General features: G+C 43.7%; 1 protein-coding gene across 32 annotated transcripts in view, besides 3 other annotated features; it reads left to right on the top strand.

Moving 5' to 3' along the window:
* PCCA (propionyl-CoA carboxylase subunit alpha) overlaps window positions 1-25,137 on the top strand; it is a 441,343-nt gene that overhangs the window by 393,786 nt on the left and 22,420 nt on the right. For 6 of the 32 annotated variants that reach the window (XM_017020607.2, XM_017020605.2, XM_017020606.2 and 3 more), the window contains one exon: window positions 7,059-8,391. The exons of 21 other annotated variants lie outside the window; for them this stretch is intronic. In XM_017020607.2, the coding sequence (XP_016876096.1) occupies window positions 7,059-7,315 (257 nt within the window). In that variant the 3' untranslated portion in view covers window positions 7,316-8,391. Of the gene's footprint in view, window positions 1-7,058; window positions 8,392-8,771; window positions 8,941-25,137 lie in introns of those variants that run through there. 5 more of the 32 variants (XM_017020611.2, XM_011521093.2, XM_047430372.1 and 2 more) reach the window with 2 other exon arrangements.
* Window positions 9,638-10,138: an enhancer, noted in NCBI's record as "H3K27ac hESC enhancer chr13:101144770-101145270 (GRCh37/hg19 assembly coordinates)". NCBI's record gives its function as "activates a minimal SCP1, AML or CMV promoter by ChIP-STARR-seq in primed H9 embryonic stem cells {active_cell/tissue: H9 hESC(primed)}" and the evidence as "EXISTENCE:reporter gene assay evidence [ECO:0000049][PMID:30033119]".
* Window positions 10,139-10,639: an enhancer, noted in NCBI's record as "H3K27ac hESC enhancer chr13:101145271-101145771 (GRCh37/hg19 assembly coordinates)". NCBI's record gives its function as "activates a minimal SCP1, AML or CMV promoter by ChIP-STARR-seq in primed H9 embryonic stem cells {active_cell/tissue: H9 hESC(primed)}" and the evidence as "EXISTENCE:reporter gene assay evidence [ECO:0000049][PMID:30033119]".
* Window positions 19,615-20,252: an enhancer, noted in NCBI's record as "H3K27ac-H3K4me1 hESC enhancer chr13:101154747-101155384 (GRCh37/hg19 assembly coordinates)". NCBI's record gives its function as "activates a minimal SCP1, AML or CMV promoter by ChIP-STARR-seq in naive H9 embryonic stem cells {active_cell/tissue: H9 hESC(naive)}" and the evidence as "EXISTENCE:reporter gene assay evidence [ECO:0000049][PMID:30033119]".

Raw genomic sequence — 25,137 nt, forward strand, 5'->3', positions numbered from 1 at the left:
GCACAAGTTGATTTTGCCTTACAGTCTTGATAGTGAAGGTGCATACTATTTTTAAAGCTGTATTCCTTAGATACTACCATATTATCTAATGTTTCTAATAATGGAATTAGCAAAAAATGACTACATCATCCAAATTTGACTTTGTACTAACATACTTGGCGTACTCCATATCCCTGAAGGTTAACAAGAGATAAATTTGGCCTAGACTGGTCTTTTCCTGAATTCATCACTTAAAAAAGGAAAAAAAGAATGGGGAGGAAAAGCCACGTTTTACTTTTATAATTTTTATTCCATCATTAAAAGTACAACTTGCTTTATGATCTGAAGAAATACCATCTAAGTCTTTCTATTAGGAACAAAAGTGAGCCTTTCAGGGAAAAAAAAAAAAGGAGCTGGGCTTAATCTGCATTAGCCCTTTGATGTATTCCCAGATTTTAAAAAGCTTCCCACTGTTCTCAGCCACGTTGAAACAGACCCAGCCATGTGTCCGGCGCTGTCCTTTTCTCCTCTCAGCACACACTTAGCCGGAGACACCTTTTGGCCAATGGGCCAGGATTCTTCCATTGCATCTTCAGCATGTGACCGTTTGTGCTGGCTCATTGGGAGTTCTGCTGCTCAGTACTCCTTCCCCAGGCAAAGACTCTTAAGTTAATAATTGGTTCAGAAGAATAAACTATACCGCCCTCTTGGTCTTCTTTTGGACATTTCTTTAAGATGAGGCTCTTACTGGTATATCTGGGGTACTTTATTGAGAAATAGAAAGTGCTAGCTGAAATAAGGCGTATCAGTCTAGAGTTAGGAAGTGAGAAATGCAATCGGTAAATTTTGCTTTTAAATAAAAATGGAAGCCCCATTTTAATTGTTGCCATTTCTAGTCATTTTATCATTTTTAACAGCCTGGTTTTCTATTTTAGAGAAGTTGCTGACCAATATTTAGAGAGCACCTCCCTAATCTGCACATCCTCTTGTGTGTGATGGTGAAGTGATGGGTTGGAATCGTTTTTAATGCTGTTTCCATTGATGGGACATTATTACCAGAAGGAGTGCTTTGTGCCAGCTGGTTTCATGGATGGAGGAAAACAATCTGGGTTTCAGTTTCACAAATAGAAAAACAAAACCTGAGAGGAAAAGGAAGTAATTCGTTAGCAGTGGCCACTGTGCAGAGTAGGATAACCTGCCTTCAAAGATTTTTGTTTCATGCACTATAATATAATGTTTAATAAATACTTTACTTCAAAGAACCTCACTACAAGAAAACTGGCCGCTTTCCTGCTATTCTTGTTCTCCGGCTCAGTATGACTATAAGTAGCTCATATCCGGTCCTCTGTGGTCTCAGGTGGTCGTTTGTGTTTATGATCCTTAAGCTGAAACTGTAAGGACTGTGTCCCTATTTTAAGTCTTTAGCAGATCCACCGTGTTCTGCAGGAATTGACAGAGGCTCTCGTGAAACCCTTGACACTTTGACCCATCTTGAGGAAAATGCTTAGATGCTAAAAGCAGTGTGCATAGGGATTACGTCCTCCAAAAATAGAAAACTCTAAATTTACTAAGCAGGGAGTAGAGAAACTCATCAGACTGCACCTCAAGTTTTTGATGTGTTCTGGTCGCCTCTGCACTCCCATTCTAGACTTCTAAACAACACGTTCAGGATCTCTGAGATAAAAGCTGGACTGAAGTTACAGAAAGAGCATTAGAGATGTTTGAATTTTTCTTTTTTCCCCCCTGTAGATATATTTGGCATATGTAGAATTTGAGAGTCCACTATTGATACCAGTTTCTTCCAGATATTAACACATATCAAATAGACAGCTAGAACTCAGAAGAAACTAATGGAGCTCTGAAAGAAACCATTGTTTTTTCCACTATAAATCTTAACTCAACAGCATTTAGGGTCTGGGTGGAGCCAGTCACCTGGGCAGCTGCTTCACACCCATTTTGAATTAGCTGCCCAGTGCTTCTGGTGAGCACCTCGGTAGGAGCCACTGCTGTGAACTCTTTTGCAAGTTCTGGTGGTGACTGGTTTGGTTTTTATTGCTCCCTGTTTGATGCACTGATAGGACCTAGGGCTGTTCTTAGAAATATAGGCCTGAGACGACTTAAATTTCACACTGGTTTTGTCTTCCGTTTCCACATTCCTCTCACTGACTCTCCCTCCCTTCCTGCCCTCTCTCTCTCTCTCATATGAAATGAGTTTAAAATCAGAGGGGAAGGATTGCTTTAATATTTAGCAGTCTAAACAGAGGGGGACAGGGCTGAAGAGGAGGAAGGGAGTGAATGGGTGTAGAAGAGAAAAGCTGTTCCCACCCCATTGCTTTAATGACAGTGGAAAGGGTGCATGGATTGGGCCTGTGTTTCTCTATCAGCTACTTTGTTCTTTAAAGCACTGGCTAGCTAAGCCATCTCTTTCTCTCCCATATTTTGCCTCTTTGAGTGTTTGCCTAGAACCACTTAGCTGTGGCAGCCCTGCTGATGGGGCAAGGTGCTCTGCAAGTTTCTAGGCAAGGTTTCTGGATCCATGTTGAAATTGAACGCAGATAGCACAACCATATTATAACAGCTACTTACAAACCAGTCAGCACATGTGTGGTGAGCATTTCTAGAGTTGAGTTATTGCTTAGGTCAATTGTAAGAGGAGTTTCTCTGAAAGAGTTCTGCTCTTTGAACTGGCAACCCCAACTCTAGAACTTACAGAATTGTTTTTGTTAATTTTTCTGGCAAGAGATTCATCCAAGTTTCCTAAACGTACTACAAGGGTATATGTATACAGAGACCTTAAGGAATGGCCAGCCATGCAAACCCTAGGGAACATCTTATCTGACAGTTCTTGGGATCCACAGTGGCTTGGGTCATAATGATAATACTGTAACTGGGAGAGCTGATGTATATGGAGCACTCAGTATGTGTGAGGCACCATAGATTCTCTCTTCATTTAATCTTCTCATGAGAAATACAGACGTTAAATAATTTTCCCAGGGTCACATAAGCTGGTACTAGGAATGAGGCTTAAAGCAGGGCTCTCTAAGAACAAAAGCTGTGATGCCTTAGCATCATTGACAGCAGCTCCCAGGTCTTACTCATCCTAGTGCAGTCCCGTTAGTCTACCTGAGCTCCCCCTAACACAGGAGTTGGCCTCTGCCCACTGGGGCTTTCATTCCCACTACCACCCACAGTTTCTGCATATGGCAGGTCGGAGCCCATCGTAGTGTCATGAGCCATTCTCTAAACCACCGTCTGCCTGAAAACTGCCTCATTCTCTGTCATTCCTGAAGGAAGGACTCTGGCTGGCCCATCTCATCTTTACTCACCTAGGTGTTCAATGGATCACTGGGTAATCTGAGGGTTGATGTTCTTCTTTAGTCTATCAACCAATCCCAGAGATGGGAGGCAGGGCTTACATAACACTGTAAATACTGCCACCTGGGATGACTTCTGCGGGAGAAGTACTGAGACCCAAGTCCACCATGGGAACTAACTGGATAAGTTTCCGAAGATTTATGTCAGTAACATTCACCACCGTGTCCTTTGTATTCACAAAATAATTAGAAACTACCTGACTGTCCATCAATAGGAGTTTAGTTAAAGAAGTTTTGTTGTTCCATATGGCAGAATATTCATATGCAGCCATTAAAATAGTGATCAGGTAAATGTTTACAAACATGGAAAGATGCAATATGAACTATATTGTAACATGAAAAAATAAAGTTAAAATGGCCCGTGTAGGATATTGCTTTGTTTTACAAACACAAAGTTGAGGCTGGGTGCAGTGGCTTATGCCTATAATCCCAGCACTTTGGGAGGCCAAGGCAGGATGATCACTTGAGCCCAGGAGTTTGCGACTAGACTGGGCAACCTAGTGAGACCTCATCTCTGCAAAAAATTCAAAAAGTACAATAAGCCAGGTGTGATGATACATGCCCATGACCCCAGCTACTCAAGAGGCCGTGGTGGCAGGATCGCTTGAGCCCAGGAAGTCAAGGCTGCAGTGAGCTGTGATCGTACCACTGCACTCCAGCTTGGGTGACAGAGCAGAGAGACTCTGTTTCAAAAACAAAAAGCCCCCACAAACATGAAAGGCTTAATCCAGGACTAGTAATAGTTGCCGAACTTGAGCGGAATTGTCTTCATGCTCTTATGTTAGCATCTGATATTTTATAATGAGCATATCCCTTATAGATTCAGCAATATATTTGAAAAATACACCAAGGTAAAGGAGTTGTGCTAATTAAAAGTAGCTGAAATGAAAAATATTGATTATTGAGGAAGAAAAACAATGAAAGTAAGACATAGAGGCCTCAGCAGTATTACTGATAACTCAATCATTGTTACCTGTATAATAGAACAAATTAAGGGCAGAGGTTCTGAACTGAAGCAGTGTTATTACTAAGGTGCTTGAAGGGGGGAACCCACATTTCTTTAATAGCAACACTCCAGGTTTCTAACATCTGGAAGTATCACACCATGAATTTTTTTTAACCCAGAAAAACTGGGAAAAACTTCAAATCACTGAATGACGTGTTAACCAAGTTTCTGACTTTAAGACTTTAAGATTATTGACTCTGAATTTACATAGAATTCTAAGAATTTCAGTTAGTTGATTGTGTGTGTGGTGTGATGTTTAAAATAAGTTTGGGAAATGCTGGGTTAAATTAATATTTTTTATTTCAGGATGTCTCAAAATCTTTACTAAGTGGATGTCTGTTTTGAATCTCCAAGATGGAATATAGAATGCAGCATTTCTCAAATGGAATTTGACCACTGAGTCCTTGTTTTCTTTGGGCATGTACTAAGTAGCCTTTCCCAGAGCTCATTTTGTGGGATACCATAGGAAATGCTGCGATGGGACCTTTTAATTAATTTATTTTTTGAGACAGGGTCTCCCTCTGTCACCCAGGCTGGAGTGCAGTGGCAGGATCATAGCTCACTACAGCCTCAAAACTCCTGGGCTCAAGCGATCCTCCTATCTCAGTTCACTAAGCAGCTGGGACTACCGAAGCACACCACCACAGCCTGCTAATTAAAATAAAAAAAAAATGTAGAAACAAGGTGCCACTATGTTGCCTGGGCTGGTGTTGAACTCCTAGGCTCAAGTGATCCTCCTGCCTCTGTCTCCCAAAGTGCTGGGATTACAGGTATGGCCACTGTGCCCAGCCATATATGTATATATATATATTTTTTAATGAAGCCACAAGCATTCTGCCTCTGTGCTTTTTATTTATTTATTTATTTATTTTTGAGACGGAGGTTCGCTCTGGTTGCCCAGGCAGGAGTGCAATGGCACAATCTCGGCTCACCGCAACCTCTGCCCCCCAGGTTCAAGTGATTCTCATGTCTCAGCCTCCCGAGTAGCTGGGATTACAGGCATGCGCCACCATGCACGGCTAATTTTGCATTTTTAGTAGAGACAGGGTTTCTCCATGTTGGTTGGGCTGGTCTTGAAGTCCCGACCTCAGGTGATCCACCCGCCTCGGCTTCCCAAAGTGCTAGGATTTACAGGTGTGAGCCGGCCGACCCTATATATTTTTTAAAAGCTTTTAAGAAACACAGTAATCTTTGAGTTGAGATTTTGAAAAAAATTGCAAAAATATTGCACATTAGCATTTTAAAGTTAGTGGAGGCTGGGCATAGTGGCTCACACCTGTAATCCCAATACCTTGGAGGCTGAGGCTGGAGGGTCGCATGAGCTCAGGAGTTTGAGACCAGCCTGGGCAACAACATAGTGGTATCCTGTATCTACAAGTTTTGTTTTTTTGTTTTGTTTTTTTTTTGTTTTTTTTTTTTAATTAGCTGGTGTGGTGGTGCATACCTATAATCCAGCTACTCAGGAGGCTAAGGCAGGAGGATCACTTGAGCCCAGGAGTTTGAGCCTGCAGTGAGCTAGGATCGCATCACTGCACTGCAATCTGGGCAGCAGAGCGAGACCCTCCCTCACAAATAAAGTTAGTGGAAAGTGCTATAGTAAACTTTTCCCAGTTTTCCCCTAATCTGTTTTACCATGGGCCACTCCCTTACCCCCACTTTTATTTTTTTTCACATTAGCTATTAACATGCCCTGAAAGTAATGTTCCTTAGAATTCCATCAGGCAACACTACTCTAGATCAGATCTGCAAACTACACCCCACCAACTGTTTTTGAAAATAAAGTTTTGGCTGGGTGCGGTGGCTCACGCCTGTAATCCCAGCACTTTGGGAGGCCGAGGCAGGCGGATCACCAGGTCAGGAGATCGAGACCATCCTGGCTAACATGGTGAAACCCCGTCTCTACTAAAAATACAAAAAAAAATTAGCCAGGCGTGGTGGCGAGCACCTGTAGTCCCAGCTACTCGGGAGGCTGAGGCAGGAGAATGGCGTGAACCCGGGAGGCGGAGCTTGCAGTGAGCCGAGATTGCACCACTGCACTCCAGCCTGGGCGACAGAGCGAGACTCCGTCTCAAAAAAAAAAAAGTTTTATCGGAACACAGCCATGCTCATTCCTGTATGTACTGTCAGTGGCTGCTTTCACGTGACTGAAGCGGAACTGACAGTGTAACATGCAAAACAGGTAAGAAAAGATTGACCATCTAGCCCATTGTAGAAGAAAGTTTGCCCACCTCTGACCTAGATGATTAGTCATAGGTAGTTGCATTTGCAAATTGACTAATTTTCTTTTTACACTCCAGCATGAATACATGCAATTGAACAGCTAATATAGGTGTGTGTATGTGTGTGCACATATGTATACTAAAATATTGTAAAATGTCAAGTGTTGCAAATAACATTGTTAACTGAAAGTGACGGAATGGCCGGCCAAATTTATATTTATTGTGTCAAAAACAAAATGTACCAGACAATTAAGATAATTTTACCCAGGCCACTGCAGTAGGGGTAACGTTTATTAATGAGAAATGTCTCAGAGAGAGGAAGAACTAGGGTTTTATAAATGCAGGTGAACAAGGGAGGGGTCCAAGAATTACGGGGTTCATGAAGAAGAGTGGAAGTCTATGGGGAAGGTTGCTTTGCCTCCAGCCATTTCCTGGGTTAAGAAAGAGGAGGAAGATTCTGTAACTGTTTCTGTGTTCTAGGAGCACGGGGCTCAGGGAAAGTTCAGCATTGTCAGTTGTCAACAAAATCAGTAAGTGTTATTAAATACCCCATGGTGTGTGGTTCTGGCACTGAAATGGGGCTGTTTCCTAAGGCTCTGTCCATGGCCACCTCTGTCTATTTCTGCATTCTGTCTTGCATTGCTTCTGTTGCCTATATCCTGGTCAGCACAGTTTATGGTGAATCATTGCTTATTGAAATAGAGACGGCAATAATGAAGCCAGCTATTATAAATTAGAGCAAATATACACATCCAATACGTTTTAAACGCATGTGATCTCTGGAGTAGTATCACTAGGTAGCTTCCATTTCAGTTCGCCTTTGGTATATTACTGTACTCCAAAGAATATCATTTTTCCCTCTGTAAAATTTTCCTCATGAAAATGGTCACCATAGGTCTGATTTACTTTTTGGATCAGTAACAGGTCACAGCATAAATCCCATTCCTGCATCAAGGCGGAACAAGACCCTCACACTTTGGAGGGAGCTGAGTTCCTGTTTAGAAGAACATGCACAGTTAGATAAATCTGTTCACACGGCTTAGATGATCAGAGCCAACATCTGATGACTATGAGCAAGGCACTTTTCTAAACATTTTTAGTATTTTCTGAACAGTTTTGTTGAGGTATACTTTACAGATAACATTCACCTCTTGAGCTGCAGTTCAATGAGTTCTCGTAAACTGAGTTGTGCAGCCATCACCACGTTCCAGTTTTAGCACATTTCCATCACCCCAAAAGTTCCTTTCTGCCTGTTTGCAGCCAATCCCTGCTCCCTGGCCAGCCACAGGCAAGCGCTGTCAATGTTTGGACAGTGTTGGATTACCTAATGGACTCTTCAAGACAGTCCTTTGGGGTGTTACTGTCATTCTCTGTTTTACACGGTGAAGAAGTGAGGCACTGAGGGCACTCAGGGTGGTTTCAAATGACCGAGGCCAGGTGCTCAGGGCCCAGAACCCTCTTACCCCCTCCAACTTCAGTGAGCTTCAAAATCACCTGCTGAGCTTGTTTGACCACAGACTTGTGGGCTCCACCCTTGAATTCCTGACGCCCTAGGTCTGGGATGGGGCTTGACAATTTGCATTTGTAAAAAGTTCCTGAATGCTGCTGCTGCTGCTGGTCAGGGAACCCTGCTTTAAGACCTCCTGGTTTATGCAATTTCAAACATTGTAAGAAATAGTCACTCATGTGATTGGTTTGTGTGCTTGGTGTAGACTGTACGAGGATTTTTCAAAAGTAAGTATTGTTCATTCTAAAGGAAGGAAATGTATGTTATGAGATAGAATTATATAATAAACAGAACCATTAAATGCCATCTGAAAAGTGGTGTTTTCAATGGCAGGAAGTAGCATTGCTGCGTATTTTGTGTGTGTGCGCAACTCAGCTTTGTGTCATTGTGTAACTTTAATTTGAAAGAACATCACGTGACTGCTGTTTTCATTTCTGCCTTTTAAAAAGCAGACAGCTATTCAGAACAGCAAGAAGCAGACCCAAACTTTGTTTGTATGCCCCTAGTCATAGGCAAAAATGGAAAGGGTAATTTACCAAAAAAGAAGAAAATAGATAAAAAGGAAAAGAATGGAAAGAAAGTACTGACTCACTGCAAACAGCTGCAAAATGTTGCCCTTGGGATAGAGGTTAACTCGGTTGTGAAATAATGGCCAAAGCGGTGCACTCTTAATAACTTTTTTGTAGCCCTGGAGAAAGCTTCTGGATTGACTGTGAGAAGCTTGGCAGAAGGTGCTGCGGCCTGGTGGCTGGCTCAGCAGGAGGCCTGGGATTGAAAGCTCTCGGTTTGTACAAGCTCTTTTGGATTTGTAACACTTTTATTTTAAATCTCCAATAAATGTAAATATTTTGGTCCCTTTTTTTCTCTATTTTTTAAAATAAAAATATTTTAGTGAATATGAGTTAAATGAGAATCAAGTGGCTTCTGGGCCTCCCTGAAAGATCAAGTGGAAGCACTGGATGACTCTAATGATGCCGAATTGTAATCCATAAAGCACCTGGGCAGAGTTCAATCAGAGGTCCCATTTCAGAAGTTTTTTGGAATGTAGGGAAAGAATTACTTAGAAAAGGTTCATCTACTTGGAGAGGAGATGGTTCAATATGACTTTTAGAAGAAGCCGCAGTCCCTGCCCCACAGGGGCTGCTTAGATTGCTTAGATGGATTGTCATCTCTCTCTCTTTTTTTTTTTGGGACGGAGTCTCGCTTTGTCGTCCAGGCTGGAGTGCAGTGGCATGATCTCGGCTCACTGCAAGCTCCACCTCCCAGGTTCACGCCATTCTCCTGCCCCTGCCTCCCGAGTAGCTGGGACTACAGGTGCCCGCCACCATGCCTGGCTAATTTTTTGTATTTTTAGTAGAGACAGGGTTTCACTGTGTTAGCCAGGATGGTTTCGATCTCCTGACCTTGTGATCCACCTGCCTCAGCCTCCCAAAGTGCTAGGATTACAGGCGTGAGCCGCCGAGCCCGGTGGACTGTCTTCTCTCTAAGCAGTAAGAGACAGTGGGAACTGCAGAAGGGTGTTTGCAGCCTCATGCAGTTGACTGAATGAATTGGCCCCAGAGTCACCCCTAGCACCATCTTGATATGGACAGGAGGCAGGGAAATACTGGGTAGAAGAGGGTGGTTCCCCAGCAAAGGCCCCACCCTCAAGCCTGGAAATCCGGAGCCCTAAATGGGAACAGGCATTCCCGTTTTTGTGCCCAAATGTTGCCTTTTGGCTCACCACGCCCCCCTCTCCTGTATCCATATAAACCCCAAACCCCAGGCTCCACAAGCAGAAGAGTGGCAGAGCAGTGCAGCAGAGAAGGAGAAAAGAAAAGGTGCTTCTGAACATTGAGAGGAGTTCGGCTGGGGAAGGTAGCAGAGATCAGCTATGGGATGACCAAACTCCAGGGGAAAGATCATCTTCCCACTCTGTCCCCTTTCCAGCTCCGCATCTCTCACCGAGAGCCATCTCCATCACTCAGTAAAATCCTCACATTCACCATCCTTCAAGTCTGGGTGACCTGATTCTTCCTGAATGCTGGACAAAGACTTGGGTACCAAGAGGGCAGGGCTTACAGGGCTGTCACCCTTATTCTCCGCTGAGCTGTTTTAACACGTAGCCATCCGCAGATGGCAGCTTCTAAAAGAGCATTAATTGTAACAGACCCCCAGACACTACCATGGGGCCAGAGCCCAAAAGTGCTCACCCCAGCTCCTACACCTGCCCCTGCCCATCTGCGTGCTCTCCCTCCCATAAGGGGTTTGAGCACGTGTCGGCCAAGCAAACGAGCTTCACCCCTGTCACAAGTCCTGAGAGGAGTCAGGGAACTCTCCCATTTCATTCTGACACAGGTGGGACTCAGCATTCTCAGACCTTCAAAGGCCTGTTGGGTGGATGTGGAGGTGTGCGCTGCCCCACCAAGCTGATGCCTGATCAGGGGAGGCCACTAGAATAGTCTCTTGTACAGCAACAGAGCCTCTTACTACAGTGAGCTTCTCCTGGGGCTTTCAGAGTACGTCCGAGCTCCACACCAAGAAGAGAGCCAACCCACGTGGATGCAGCTCGGTTCTTAGGGCTGACTTGAAACTTGATAAGACTGCCTCAAGCATGTGCCACAACCCCAGTTCTTGCAAACCCCCACAGAGTCTTGAGAAATCCCTCTTGTGGTCCAAATTGGGGAAATATAGAATTAGTCAAAAGAAAAGGCTGAAGTCTTGGTCATCTACATGCTTGCAAATTCCAGCCTTCCTGGCCTGTGAGTGTTGCATGAATATAGCAGGAAGTCAGCACTCTCCATCTTTCACAAAACGTGATGTGTTTCAGTCCGTGCCCGGTGAACACTATTCTCCACCTCCCTCCCTCCCAACTTGCTTGCTTTCAGCTTCTCTTTAAAGTACACCTTAAAATTCAATCTATCATTCAGACATAGAGAGCAGTGGCATATGAGAAGCAAACATTTGGCTGGGCGCGGTGGCTCACGCCTGTAATCTCAGCACTTTGGGAGGCCGAGGTGGGCAGATTACGAGGTCAGGAGCTGGTGACCATCCTGGCCAACATGGTGAAACCCCATCTCTACTAAAAATACAAAAATCAGCTGGGTGTGGTGGTGCACGCCTGTAATCCCAGCTACTCAGGAGGCTGAGGCGGGAGAAGGGCTTGAAACCAGGAGGTGGAGATTACAGTGAGCTGAGATCATGCCACTGTACTCCAGCCTGGTGACAGAGGAGACTCTGTCTCAAAAAATAAATAAATAAATAAATAAATAAAGGGCAAACTTTTACCAAGTTCTCATCTCTTAAGCCATTGTTTGTTTAATGGAGTAGTAGATGATGTGGGTTGTTATCTAACAAGAACATTGTCCCTTGTGGGACTGCACTTAGCATTCACCTTCGGATGCCATGGCTAGGTCAGGATGCCAGCCTAAGCAGTCTTGACTTTAGATTTGAAATTCCGGCCGGGTACGGTGGCTCACGCCTGTAATCCCAGCACTTTGGGAGGCCGAGGCAGGTGGATCACCTGAGGTCGGGAGTTTGAGACCAGCCTGACCAACATGGAGAAACCCTGCCTCTACTGAAAATACAAAATTAGCCAGGCGTGGTGGTGCACGCCTGTAATCCCAGCTACTCGGGAGGCTGAGGCAGGAGAATGGGTTTAACCCGGGAGGCGGAGTTTGCGGTGAGCCGAGATCGCGCTATTGCACTCTAGCCTGGGCAACAAGAGCAAAACTCAAAAAAAAAAAAAAATTTTGTAATTCCTTCAACACATTATAACATGACAAGTGCTTCTTGCCTTATCTACTAGTGAAGACTCTGCCCGGCCCGCTGGCTTCCTAACAGTCCTGTGGCGGTCTGTTCTTTCCTGTGTACACTCCTTAAATTGTGACATCCCTACTTCTGGAAAGCTCACCATTTCCTATACCCCTATTTGATTTATTTTATCCCAAGACTTATCTCAAATCCTCCCTGCTCCCAAAATCCTCCTCTCACTGCCTTAGTTCTCCCTCTGAAATTCCATAGCATTTCATTTTCTCAACACAGACTCAGAGAAATTTGCTGGTAGGAGGGACCTTAGAGGTGCGATTCTCAACCGGGGCAGTATTGCCCCCGGGCATATTCGGCAATGTCTGGAGACATACTTGGTTGTCACAGCTGGGAGGGAGTGCTATGGCATCTAGTGTGTGGAAGCCCGAGACCCCGCTAACCGTCCCACCCAACACAGGACAACTCCAAAACAAAGATTAATCCAGGCTTTCGGCTGCTGTTGGGAAACTTGTCCACATTACCACCACATACCTGGTTCCACAATTTACCTCTACATGTGCATGTTCCTGAGTAATTGCACACTTTGTAATGTCTCGTAGCCCCTATAGCTAGTCTAGTTAATTTCTGGTCATCATGGAAAATGCCACCTCTCTGAAATGGCCAGCACTGGAGAGACGCTACTGCTGCTGATGGTGAATGTCAGGGGACTACTAGGTGTCCCTTCTATTTTTGTTAACTTGTAGTTATTTGTAGGATGATTGCCTTTAGTGCAGAAAATTTTTTTTAAGTTTATAAAGCTTGTGAGAAAAATCCTTATTTGTAAAGAAGCTCAGTATTATTTTGAATGTTCTTGCTTCTCATTTATGACTACTCAATAAAGAAAATACCTTTTCCTGCTCTGCTGTCCAGTTTGTTGGGTTAATTTGGGAGATAGTGTCAGCACCCTGGAATTGTGCCAACTTCCAATTATCACTCTGTGTAACCACTGACTTCAATTTCAAAGTAATTACTGCAGATTTTTCTCACTACCCTGAACATAGCCTACACGCTTTTAATCCTACACTTATTTTTTTCCCCATCTAAAAGGAAAACTTATTTTGATTTTGATACTTTTTAATTTTTTAAAACTTATTTTGAAATAACTTAGACTTGGGAAAAGTTGCAAAACAATAATACAAAGAATGTCCAGATAATTTCACCCAGAGTCCGCAAATGTTAACATTTTATCAGGGTTGATTTATTGTGTATTCCTCTCTTTCTCTCTCTCTCTCTCTCTTCCCACCTCCACCATCTATATATGTAAATAATTGGTATCTTCTGAACCATTTCAGCAAATTGCTAACAGTTCTTAAGTGTGTATTTCATCGACACAGGACAACATTCCCTTATGGAACTGCAATGCAGTACTGTTACCACAATTAGGAAACTGACATTGAAACAGCACCATTGTCTTATCTACAAACCTTTCAAATTTTGCCAGTTTTCCTACTCTTTAAAATGTTTTCAAATTGTTGCCAGTTTACTCACTACAAAAAATACTGTCTTTAAAGCAAAAGAAAAAGAAGTGTTATTTTCTGGCCCAGGATCCGCTCAGAGTCACACCTTGCATTGACTTTTCCTGTCCTGTTGGTCTCCTGAATCTCGAATCGTTCCTCCGTTGTTCTTTGGCTTCCGTGATCTTGACATTTTTGAAGACAGGCCATTTATTTTGTCAAATGGCTCTCAATTTGGATTCATTTGGTGTTTCCTCACAGTCAGGTTGTTACTCATTTTTGGCAGGAACGTAACGGTGGTGCTGCTGCGTTGTCCTCGTTGTCCCCTCTCGGGAGGCGCATGTTCACGTTTCTCTTTGTCCCACTGTTAATGGCATCACTTTGATCATTTGGTTCAGGTGGTGTTTGTCCCTTTCTCCACTCTGAAGTTACTACTTTCCTTTTTCCATTTATCTGGTAAAGGAAATAGACAGTTAAGCTGGTAATTTCAGCATAATATGGTGAGTGTTAAACAGACAGCCAGGGTGCCTTGGGAGCCAGTAAGTAGATGTCACCCAACCTGGTAGCTCAGGGAAGGCTTCTGGAGTTGATGACACCTCAACTGTGACTTAAGGTAATGATTATGAGTCAGCCAAGCCAAGGAAAATGGGGAGGATACTGTAGAAGGACATGATACCATGAACACAGCCATGGAGCCACGAAACTTCATGGTGTGTTCAGGTCGCTACAGTGGCTGGCAGCTTGAGTTCTAGGATGGAGTTCGGAAGATGTCACGGAATCCCAGTATGGCAGTACAAGTGCACTTGTTCTCACGGGAGGCTGGAAGCAAAGGCTGTGCTCCTTGTTCCTCAAAAGCTCTAGGGTCTCTTTTGTCTCTTAATTCCATAGTTCTCTCTCCCCTAATTAACACAGAGCTAAAAATAGCAGAGAAATGGGGAATTGGGGGGAAGATTATAGTCAAAGAAGTTTCATCACAGGATGCACAGTTAATTTGGTTGCACTGGAAATTGGTTTCCTTCTCTTAGAAAATAAAAATCATCTTTGCAAAAAATTGTCACTTCTTTTTCTTTCACTTTTTTGAGGGTGAAAATTAGTGAAAAATGAAAATATGAACAAGTTGTGCAAATAAAACTAAAAAGTCACCGAATTTGGCTTTGAAGTATGCATCTGAGAAGCCTACTATTCTTTGGCTTGAATGAGAAGTGTAAGTTGTGGAATGGTAAAGCAGTGTAGCCTCTTTGACACCCAGCCAATTTAATTTTTTTTTTTTTTTTTAATTTTAGTGGCAGTAAGTACTGACTTACCAAGGCTTGGGGTAGCAGATACTATCACAGCTGCCAGGACTTTTCCAGGCTCCTGTCAAGAAACTGCTGCAATTCTGCAAGAGTCTTCAGATTAAATTCATGCCAAGTCATTTCCTCTGTTCTTCTACCAGTGAGGTCACCTTTGCAGCTGACCATTAGTGATGCTGTCAGCAAGAAAAGGATTATGAACTGAGGTCTAAATTTCAGTGATGTCTAGGCAAAAATAAATGTTCAAAAGAATTTAGCGAGGTTTCCAAGACCTGGTAAATTTCTCCCTAAGAGAAATTGCCAGATTTGTGGGCTCTTGATTTTAGCCTGAAGAATCACATTCTTCAGCACTGGAAGTTTTTCCTTCTTTTTTTACTTTTCTTTTTTTTTAGACACAGGGTCTCACTCTGTCACCCAGGCTGGAGTGCAGTGGCAGGATCATAACTTACTGTAAACTTCGAACTACCGGGCTCAGTTGATCCTCCTGCCTCAGCCTCATGAGTAGCTAGGATTACAGATATGTGCCACTACACCTGGCTAACCTGTTTTTTTGTAGAGACAAGGTCTTGCTATATTGCCCAGGCTGGTCTCAAACTTCTGGCCTCAAAGTAATCCTCTCACCTCAGCCTCCCAAAGTGCTGAGATTACAGGCGTGAGCCACCACACCCAGCCCAACATTGGAAGTTGTCATAGTTATCGCCAGTTGCCTCTCTTTTTGTCTGGAGATGTGTAGGTTAGCCAAAAAAAAAAAAAAAAATTACCGATTTTTTTTTATTTTTTCATTCACAAATATTGAATGTCTTCTCTATGTACCAGATACTATTATGCTCTCTCATGGAGGTTAGTACTGTCTACTGGAGAAGACATACCAAAAACAAGAGAGAGAGAAAGAGGAAAGCCACAAATCAGTTGGAAACACGCCCGTATTAGTGACTGAAGAGCCTGCAAATGAAAGCTTTACAAATTCATATGGCCAAATAGATTTCCTTGCTCCTTGAGTTAAAATTCACATAACACAATTAACCATTAGCTAAGTTAAAACATACAATTCAGTGCATTTATTAACGTTCACAACGCTGTACAACCATCATCTCTCTCCAGTTCCAAGACGATTCATCACCCCAAAAGGAAACCCCATTTCCATTAAGTGATCACTCCCTATTCCCCCACCTCCCCCAGCAACCCCTAGCCTACTGTTTGCGTGTGACTTCTTCCACTCAGTATAACACTTCTGAGGTTCATCCACACTGGAGCATGTGTCTGGTCTTTGTAGGTTTATTCCACTACCAACCATGTTCTTTATGCTTAAAATAACTCCTCCCTATTGAACTGTTTTGGAGTGATATTTCCTGGGGTGGAGGTAGTTTAATGATTCATCTCTGTCTTGTTAGCATGCTTGTTTATGGTAGAGAGAAATTTTGTATTCTGCCACCATACCTTGTCAAAACCTTTTAACAAGGCATTGATTTGGTTCTCTGGTTCTGAGAACTTGGCAGTGGAAGACAAGACTTCCACCCGCATTGCAAGCAAAATCATTGATGTCAATTCACGTTATTGTGGAAAACCGTGAGTTGTGACAAGTGAAAGCTTTTCACCAAGCCACAAAACTATGGGCGTGTGCAGTCAACACACGGAACACAAGGGGTTTGCTTCCGTGGCTCAGCATAGCACTCTCTCACTAGTTCTAAAATATTCATAGCCTTTGCTGTTCCCAAAAGACGTTTGAAAAATAAGACTTCTCCTTTGTCAGCATCCGCGCTCACATAACTGGTGAAACTAGGAGATAGTTTTGTATCCCGGAAGATAATCATTGTTCCATTCAGGTGTTGGGCAGAGAGAAATGGCTTATCTGCACATCTGCAGGATGTAAGAGATTAGTGAAATATTTGTGATTCTGATGTTGATGACTTTTAATGTTTGACAGAGAAACTTTTGCAATTATTTTCTTCTGGTCCAGGCCTCACTCCTTCTAGCCCACATGGCTCTAGTCAACCTCCTTTAATCAGCAGAGTAATAGGCAAGACTGTAGTAGGATGCCTCAAGACAGACTTTTATGTTGGGACAAGTAGTGTCTTATTAAGGCGGTTCCAGCCTTTCATATCCTGCCTCCTTGGGATAAAGAGTGTTTGTTTACAGAGCTTCTGGGATAGACTGCTGCATGCTGCATCCGTACCTCTGTTGCAGAAGCACATCTGTCCCATTATGTCTAGTGACAAAAATAAGACCTACGCCTCAGTGAACTTTGCATACATCTGAATGTAAGCAAGACAAGTATATTTGACATTTTAAAAAGGTTTTTTCTTTCACAGTTTTCAAAATAACATAGGAGAAGCAAAGGAAAAAATATTTCTTGTGTTTCTAATTCACAGGTTGCTTGAGACTTTTTTTGGAGGTGCTAGCATTTTATTGGCCACAGTTTTGAAGGAAAATACAATGAAATCATGCTTCTGTCGTTTGGGGAAAAGGAATAACAGATTCATTTTTTCTTTTTTTAAAGATGAGAGAGATAGTATTTGGAATCTATCTTTAGACTATTCTACCTCTGAATCTAATTGAAGTAAGAAATTGGGCAAGAATGGAATCTTACTTACCACCCAGGAAAAAAGCTAAACAATTGTGGCTCAGTCCATTTTCCCCTGAGACTGTCTTCAGATTGAGGCGATCAGTGTTAAAATGGATGGAATCACCAGGCTCTCCACATTCTAGTAAGATTGTAGTACGGTTGAAAGTCAAATGAAAGTCCAGCTCTTCAGTGTGTCATTTCCTCTTGCAGACACCAGACCAAGGGCAGTGGTGGTCTGGCGCTTATATTTTGTTATTATTTGTTGAGACCAGAACTCTCCTTAAGGATATATTTATATATGTTTTAATATTAAAGTTTCTTTTCAAGGAATTTATACTAATTAGTTCATGTAATAATAACATGTGCATTCCATTTAAAGTTACCTTGCTAAATTTTCTAAGACTTGTTAGCTTCCCCATAGTTTTTAATAAACCAAAAGATCAAACGAACAGTCCCCAGTTGCCCAAATATTGAGCAGTTAAGGCTGGTTTCAGCTCATCTGAAATCTGTAAACATTTAAAGAGAACCTCTCTCCCAGAAGATAGTGAGCACGGTGGTATTCTCCAGTCTCAGAATATTAAGGTTACTTACAGACTAGAGAGGCCTTCAGTCTATATTAACGAGTTCCTTTCCTAATCTCACCCTTCTAAGAATATATTTGATCCAATTTAGGGACAGCAACATTGAGGCCAGAGAAAAATTAATGGGGTAGTAACTGTAGACACCAAAACACTCCCCAAATCTTGAGACATCAAATAAGCAAGACTGAATTTATGCAAAAGATACTTTAAAGATGTTTCTTTAGCTGGGCGCAGTGGCTCACGCCTGTAATCCCAGCACTTTGGGAGGCCGAGGCGGGTAGATCACAAGGTCACGAGTTTGAGACCAGCCTGGCCAATATGGTGAAACCCCGTTTCTACTAAAAATACAAAAATTAGCCGGGTGTGGTGGTGGGTGCCTGTAGTCCCAGCTACTCGGGAGGCTGAGGCAGGACAATTGCTTGAACCTGGGAGGCGGAGGTTGCAGTGAGCCAAGATCGCCAAGATCATGCCACTGCATTCCAACCTGAGCAACAGAGTGAGACTCTTAAAAAAAAGAAAAAATGTGTCACTCAGAGATTTTTCTACCTAGAACAAGAGTCATACATACTTTTTGAAATTATTTTATCTATGTAAACTTACGAGGTACAAGTGTAAATTTGTGACATGCATAGATTGAATAGAGAGGAAGTCAAGGCTTTTAGATATTCATCACCTGACTAATGTACATGGTACCCATTAAGTAATTTCTCATCATCCACCCTCCTCCCACCCCGTCACCCTTCTGAGTCTCCATTGTCTACTATCAGAAAAGCCTTCTCCAGCAGCGCATTGTCAGCTGAGTCTAGGAGAAGAAAGCCTTCTCATGGACATGAGCTAAATTCCCTGGGAAAGGCCATTCCATAATGGAGAAGGCCTTCTGTTCACCCACAGTGTGGTCCTCAGACCAGCAGCTTCAGCGTCTCCTGGGAACTCACTAGAAATGCAGACCCCAGGCCCAGTGTGGCAGCTCACGCCTGTAATCCCAGCACTTTGGGAGGCCGAGGCGGGTGGCTCACGAGGTCAGGAGTTTGAGGCCAGCCTGGCCAACATAGTGAAACCCCGTCTCTACTAAAAATACAAAAAAATTAGCCGGGCATGGTGGCGCATACCTGTAATCCCAGCTACTTGGGAGGCTGAGGCAGGAAAATCACTTGAACCCGGGTGGCGGAGGTTGGGCTGAGCTGAGATCGTGCCGCTGCACTCCAGCCTGGGCAACAGAGGGACACTCCTTCTCAATAAATAAATAAATAAATAAATAAATAAAATGCACCCAAACCTGAATTGGAAACTCAGGTGGGGGGCCTAGCGGTCTGTGGTTTTACTAGCCCTCCAGGCAAGTTTTGATGCTTTGGTGATTGAGAACTGCTGCTTATGCTGTCTTGGTGGAGAGCACTTCAGCCAGTGCCTCTTCTGCTGATTCTGTATTTATCAAAGAACCACTGACTATAATTTAGTGCTCACACTACAGTTAGGAGGTGTGTGAGTTCCCTTTACAAACCTATTTCTGATTGTAAATTCCTAAGATGTTTTACACATCAGTATCTTGTGAGCTTGATAAAAGTGAATCCATCTCGTTCAGAGTGATGCATTATGAGTGTATAGTGGAAGTCTAGCTTCTAAGCCTGTGAAACAGAGGCCCAGCCCCCTGATCCAGGCAGATTTCACTAAGGTAGAGGCCAGGGTAGATGTCCCTGCTGAACGGGCACCCTCTCATCCCACCTCACCCTGGCTGTGTGTACTGTATATTTTTAACCAAGAGGAGAGCAGAGCGGCACAGAATGGCTGGTACTCAGTATTCCTGGTTTCTGGATTATACAGATGCAAGGGAAATGTCTCCTAGTCTTATTTCATGAGTTACTGTGTAGCATTATTGAATTGCAGTGGTAAGAGGGTTAGGTAGGCCTTTCTCATTTTTGATTAGACAGCTATCATTTACAAATTAGACCACAGGGAATCGACCTTAACTTCTGTGACTAAAGCTTTTGGCAGTTACTTTTGGCATTTCTGGCCCTCTAGACTTGAAAATGACTGAGTGGTTACAATTTACAAAGTTAAGAGAGCTTTCTGTTGATTGGTGTGAATGGTAGGATATGAGACAGACTCTTAGGAGTAAAGGACAGGGATTTAGGGAAAATCCTAGTGGAGTCACTGCAGCCAGGCAGAGTTGTCTGTTACATGCAGATAACAAGTCACGCTGTTGGGGTTAATTAGAAAAAGAGGAAACAAAGTTGAGAAAAGAAGAGGGAGGCAGAGCAGACGGCAGAGGACAGGAATTTTCAGTGCAGCGTTGGGAAAGGTTGTGGAAGCTGAGGCTGACGCAGACCTAGGGCGTTAAAGCTGTATTTACAGCTGGACCTTCTGATTCCTGGGGAGGAGGGGAGGCTGGATCGTGGGTAAGAGAGACTGGCAGGGCCAGTGGAGGATACTCTCCCACTGGAGTTGTCCAGTGGGAGTTGTCTGGAGTTGTCCTGGGCAGAGGCTGCCTGTTGACAGAGGCTCAGCACAGCCATGCTTAAGATAAGCTAGCTAAGCAGGTACGAGGAAAAATAATTTACCTGAAGTTCTTTCTGGCCGGGCGCAGTGGCTCACGCCTGTAATCCCAACACTTTGGGAGGCCGAGGTGGGTGGATCACCTGAGGTCGGGAGTTCAAGACCAGCCTGACCAACATGGAGAAACCCTGTCTCTACTAAAAATACAAAATTAGTTGGGTGTGGTGGCGCGTGCCTGTAATCCCAGCTACTCGGGAGGCTGAGGCAGGAGAATCACTTGAACCCAGGAGGTGGAGGTTGTGGTGAGCCGAGGTTGCGCCATTGCACTCCAGCCTGGGCAACAAGAGCGAAACTCCATCCCCCCCCAAAAAAGAAATTATAATAAAATAAAGTTTTTTCTGTATTAAACATCTTGTGTTTAAAAGTCTACAGTGAGTCAAGGATGTTGAATGGCCAAAGATCATAAATCTCTCCCTCTTTAAATGAGCTGTGGGCTGGGCACAGTGGCTTATGCCTGTAATCCCAACACTTTGGGAGGCTGAGGGGCATGGATCGCTTGAGCCTAGTAGTTCGAGACCAGCCTGGGCAACATGGCAAAACTCTGTCTTTACAAAAAATTTAAAAAAAAATTAGCCGGGCATGGTGGCATGTGCCTATGGTCTCAGCTACTTGGGAGACTGAGGTGGGAGGATCACATGGGCTGAGGAGGTTGAGGCTGCAGTGAGCTGTGATCACACTACTGCACTCCAGCCTGAGTGACAGAGTGAGATCCTCAATAATAAGCAGTCTTCAGTGTTTCATTTTACCCAGGCTAAATGTATTTGTAGTATACATATATGTTTATATTTTGATAGATTCATGTGAGTAAAAGATATACAATAAAAATTGACATTACCGAAGGGGAGTGGGATTAGATGTGAGAGGGTGGATTAGTAAATTGTTTTACACACCTCTTTACCATTGGACTTGTTACAATAAGCCTATAACTATTTTTAACTCCATAAAATACATTGTTTTATAAGAGCTGTCAAATTTCACTTGCTCAGTCCCCTGATTCTCATTTTCTTATAAAATCTCAGGTTCCTCAAATATGAATTCTTCTGCCATGAGAAATTAGCAACATAGTCTTAAAGTCTGGGGAAAGATTATAGTCAGATCCACATAGATAGGACAACGTTCCAAGTCGGGAGAATGTTCATATGAGAATTGAATAGAAGGCCAAATTTTTAGGCTAAGAATATGATCAGAGGACACTTCCAGTGGAGAGAGTCAGCGTGAAGAGTTGAGGTGCATGGCTGTTGTGCATCTGAGAGCGTGTACGCGGGCGTGAGAGCGATTTAGATCCCTGTGTGTTGAATTCGAGACCCACCCAGACAGCCTCCAGTGTCTTCTCAGTGACTGTGCCCAAGATTTCTGTCCATCTGTGGACATGTTTTAATGACAGCAATTAGTGGTAATGATGGCTATTAAATACTTAATGACATTTCTGTGTTCTGAGGCTTCTTCATACAAGAATTCACTTACTGGCCGGGCACCGTGGCTCACACCTGTAATCCCAGCACTTTGGGAGGCTGAGGTGGGCAGATCAAGAGGTCAAGAGATTGAGATCACCCTGGCTAACATGGTGAAACCCCATCTCTACTAAAAATACAAAATAGCTGGGTGTGGTGGAACGTGCCTGTAGTCCCAACTACTCGGGAGGCTGAGGCAGGAGAATCACTTGAACCTGGGAGGCGGAGGCTGCAGTGAGCCAAGATCATGCCACTGCACTCCAGCCTGGGTGACACAGAGAGAGACTCTGTCTCAAAAAAAAAAGAATTCACTTACTTTCCACAGAAGCAGGCACTGTTATGATCCACAGTTCATAAAGAAGGAATCTGAGACATGGAAAGTCGACCTTTCCCAAGCTTGTAAGTGGAACAGTATTCTGACTCCAGATCCTAAATGGTAAACCACTACTCTCTGCTGCCTCGCAGCCTGGAGATTTTCTGTAAGAGAGGGGCTAAAATAAAAAAGCCCACCTCATATTGATCACATTCTTAGTAATCCTTGAATACGTTTATATTGTGTCATTCATGAATGTCTTTTCCCTCTGGCCAGATTATGGTATTTAGGTCAGGAGCCATTTTTTCTTGTTTATTTTGTATTCTTACATTGCCCAGATATGCTCGATAAATGGTTTTTGAATGAATTAACCAAACTGTTTCTCTAATTCACTATGCTTTTAACTGTCTAAGGAAAAGACAACCGTGGGGTCCCTCGCTGCATGCCTGGGAACCTCTCTGAACACGGAATCAACTTCCTTTCTTTGATTTTAGAGCCAGATGTGATGTTTGAAGAATGTAATCTATTTGCTCTCAAACATGGAGAGCATAGAGCTAGAACTCCAACAATTAGAAGTTAATCTGAGATGTCCTACAATACATGATTTTAAAATAAAATCCACCAGTGTCAGTCTGGTGCAGTGACTCATGCCTGTAATCCCAGCACTCTGGGAACCTGGGGCGGGCGGATCCCTTGAGCCCAGGAGTTCAAGACCAGCCTGGGCAATGTGGCAAAACCCCATCTCTACAAAACATACTCAAACACTAAGCAGGCATGGTGGCGTCTGCCTGTAGTCCCAGGTACTTGGGAGTCTGACGTGGGAGGATCACTTGTGCCCAGGAGGTCGAGGCTGCAGTGAGCCATGCCTGGGTGCCAGAGTGGTACCCTGTTTCTCTGCCCACCCTCCCCCATCCCCCCCAAAAAAATCCACCACTCTTTCATTCTGAACAACCAGAGATGTTTGGAAAGGACACAGGAAATAATACCTGGTGAATAGTTACTCTCGAGCACTTGCTAGGTGCGCTGCAGATCTTCGTAAATTTAATCCTCAAAACAGTTACTCAAGACCTGTATTAGCTTGATTTTAGAGTTGACATCTGTCTGAGAAGGAGGTAACTTGGTCAGAAGGTGCCATCTCGTTGGGATGTCACAGTCGGGCCTGTTGGCTTCAGAGACTTGGGCTTTCATGCTCTGCTGCTGCCAGGACGGGGGCCACATCGCCCTGTCTCCCGATTTCTCCCATGGCTCTCCAGGACTTGGCCACCTTCAGCATCGTGTGTTCTGTACACAGCACAGCATGAGGGTGCCAGCAGTCCTCCTTGGCTCAGCGTCTAGGATGTGTCAGAACTGTAAACCCCAAGATTCTTAGGCAACCCCCCTACCAGCGCTCATTTCTGCTACTTCAGACCAGAAACCTTCGCGGGCGGGGGTGGGGGCGGGGGCGGCGGGGGTTTCAGTTGCTTTCTGCTTCAGTTTTCTTGGCCGACGGTCTACCTCACAGTATCACAGTCATCTTTACTTTCGTTTACTCTGCCTTTCTGTATTTTAGTTTCTGAATTTCTGTCCCATAAAGCCAGCATTTAGGCATTTTGAATTTTGAGTTTCTTCAGTGAATTCATAATAGTAAAAATATTTAAGAAAACCTGTAAAGGCAAGATTGTTGTTGAAGCCCCTCACATTAGAACACTTCCCAGGTGCTCCAACCTGGGGGGGACTGAGGACTTACATGGGAAGTCAGAGCTCCCCATCTTTTTTCCCCAAAGGTCATTCATTCTGACAGCATGACTTCAACTTGATATGAGCAAAGAGCATTTCAGATAGGAGGAGAAAAAGGAAGAGGGTTGGGCACCGTCGTGAAATGGTACACTTCCTCACCGCGGTGCTTATCTACATAATTGTGTTTTTATAACATTTCCTTTACTTTTCTGTAAGCTGATGCTGCCCTAATTATAGATTTTTAAGAGAACACTTCATTGTACCCCAAATTATACAGTGCTTTAAAAAGGTACTTTCTTACCGGTTTACCAAATACCTTATAAATTCGTAATTACATAAAACAATTCGAGATACAGAATAGAAACAGCCTGTACTGTTAACAGGTGTTGGTATTGTTATATAATTGAGTACATGGCTTTCAAAGATCTATAATATTTTTCTTGAGTAAAAAGAAAAAAATGACTCATTATAGTCGTAATGTGTCACAGAGACTCCTGATCAAACAGAATGCACATGTTCTATTTTGTGCATTCTGTACAGTTCATTGTAAATGGACTTGCCTTTGTGGAAGTGAAAGTGCCACTTATTCCAGCAAATTGCCTTTGTGGCATATGCACCTACTTGTTAGACAGCTTGGGGGCACTTGGGCCAGGCAGAGGCTGGGCCCCCTTTATCATGGGCACACCTGCACACATGGCACTATGGCGCCACACTCCAGGTAGGCTGCTGTCATTAACAGACTTGCTCCTTGGGAAACCCACTGAGGACTTCTCAGTGCCCTCCTGCCCATCAGAGACCACCTCGGAATTCTTAGAAGACTAGGAATGGGGCAGCTTCCTAGACGCTAGCTCTTTTCCCGCCACATCAGTTTTAGGCCTCTCTTATGATACAAGTGATTCAGATTACAAGGTAACCTCAGTGCAACACAAGGGAAGAAATAAATCCTCTCTGTTATTGAGTGCTGGGTCTAGTGTTTAATTTTCTTTCTTTTCTTTTCTTTTTCTTGAGACAGAGTCTCGCACTGTGGCCTGGGCTGGAGTGCAGTGGCGCGATCTCGGCTCCCTGCAACCTCCACCTCCCAGGTTCAAGCGATTCTTCTGCCTCAGCCTCCCGAGCAGCTAGGATTACAAGCGCCCACCACCACGCCTGGCTAATTTTTTGGATTTTTAGTAGAGACGGGGTTTCACTATGTAGGCCAGGCTGTTCTTGAACTCCTGACCTCATGATCCTCCAGCCTTGGCCTCCCAAAGTGCTGGGATTATAGGTGTGAGCCACCGCACCCAGCCTAGTGTTTAATTTTCAATTTAATTTTTGGCACTATTTTTTTTTAAGTTGCTCATCTTAGG

Source organism: Homo sapiens, chromosome 13, assembly GCF_000001405.40.
Source record: "Homo sapiens chromosome 13, GRCh38.p14 Primary Assembly".
In the NCBI taxonomy this organism is placed as follows: Eukaryota; Metazoa; Chordata; class Mammalia; order Primates; family Hominidae; genus Homo; species Homo sapiens.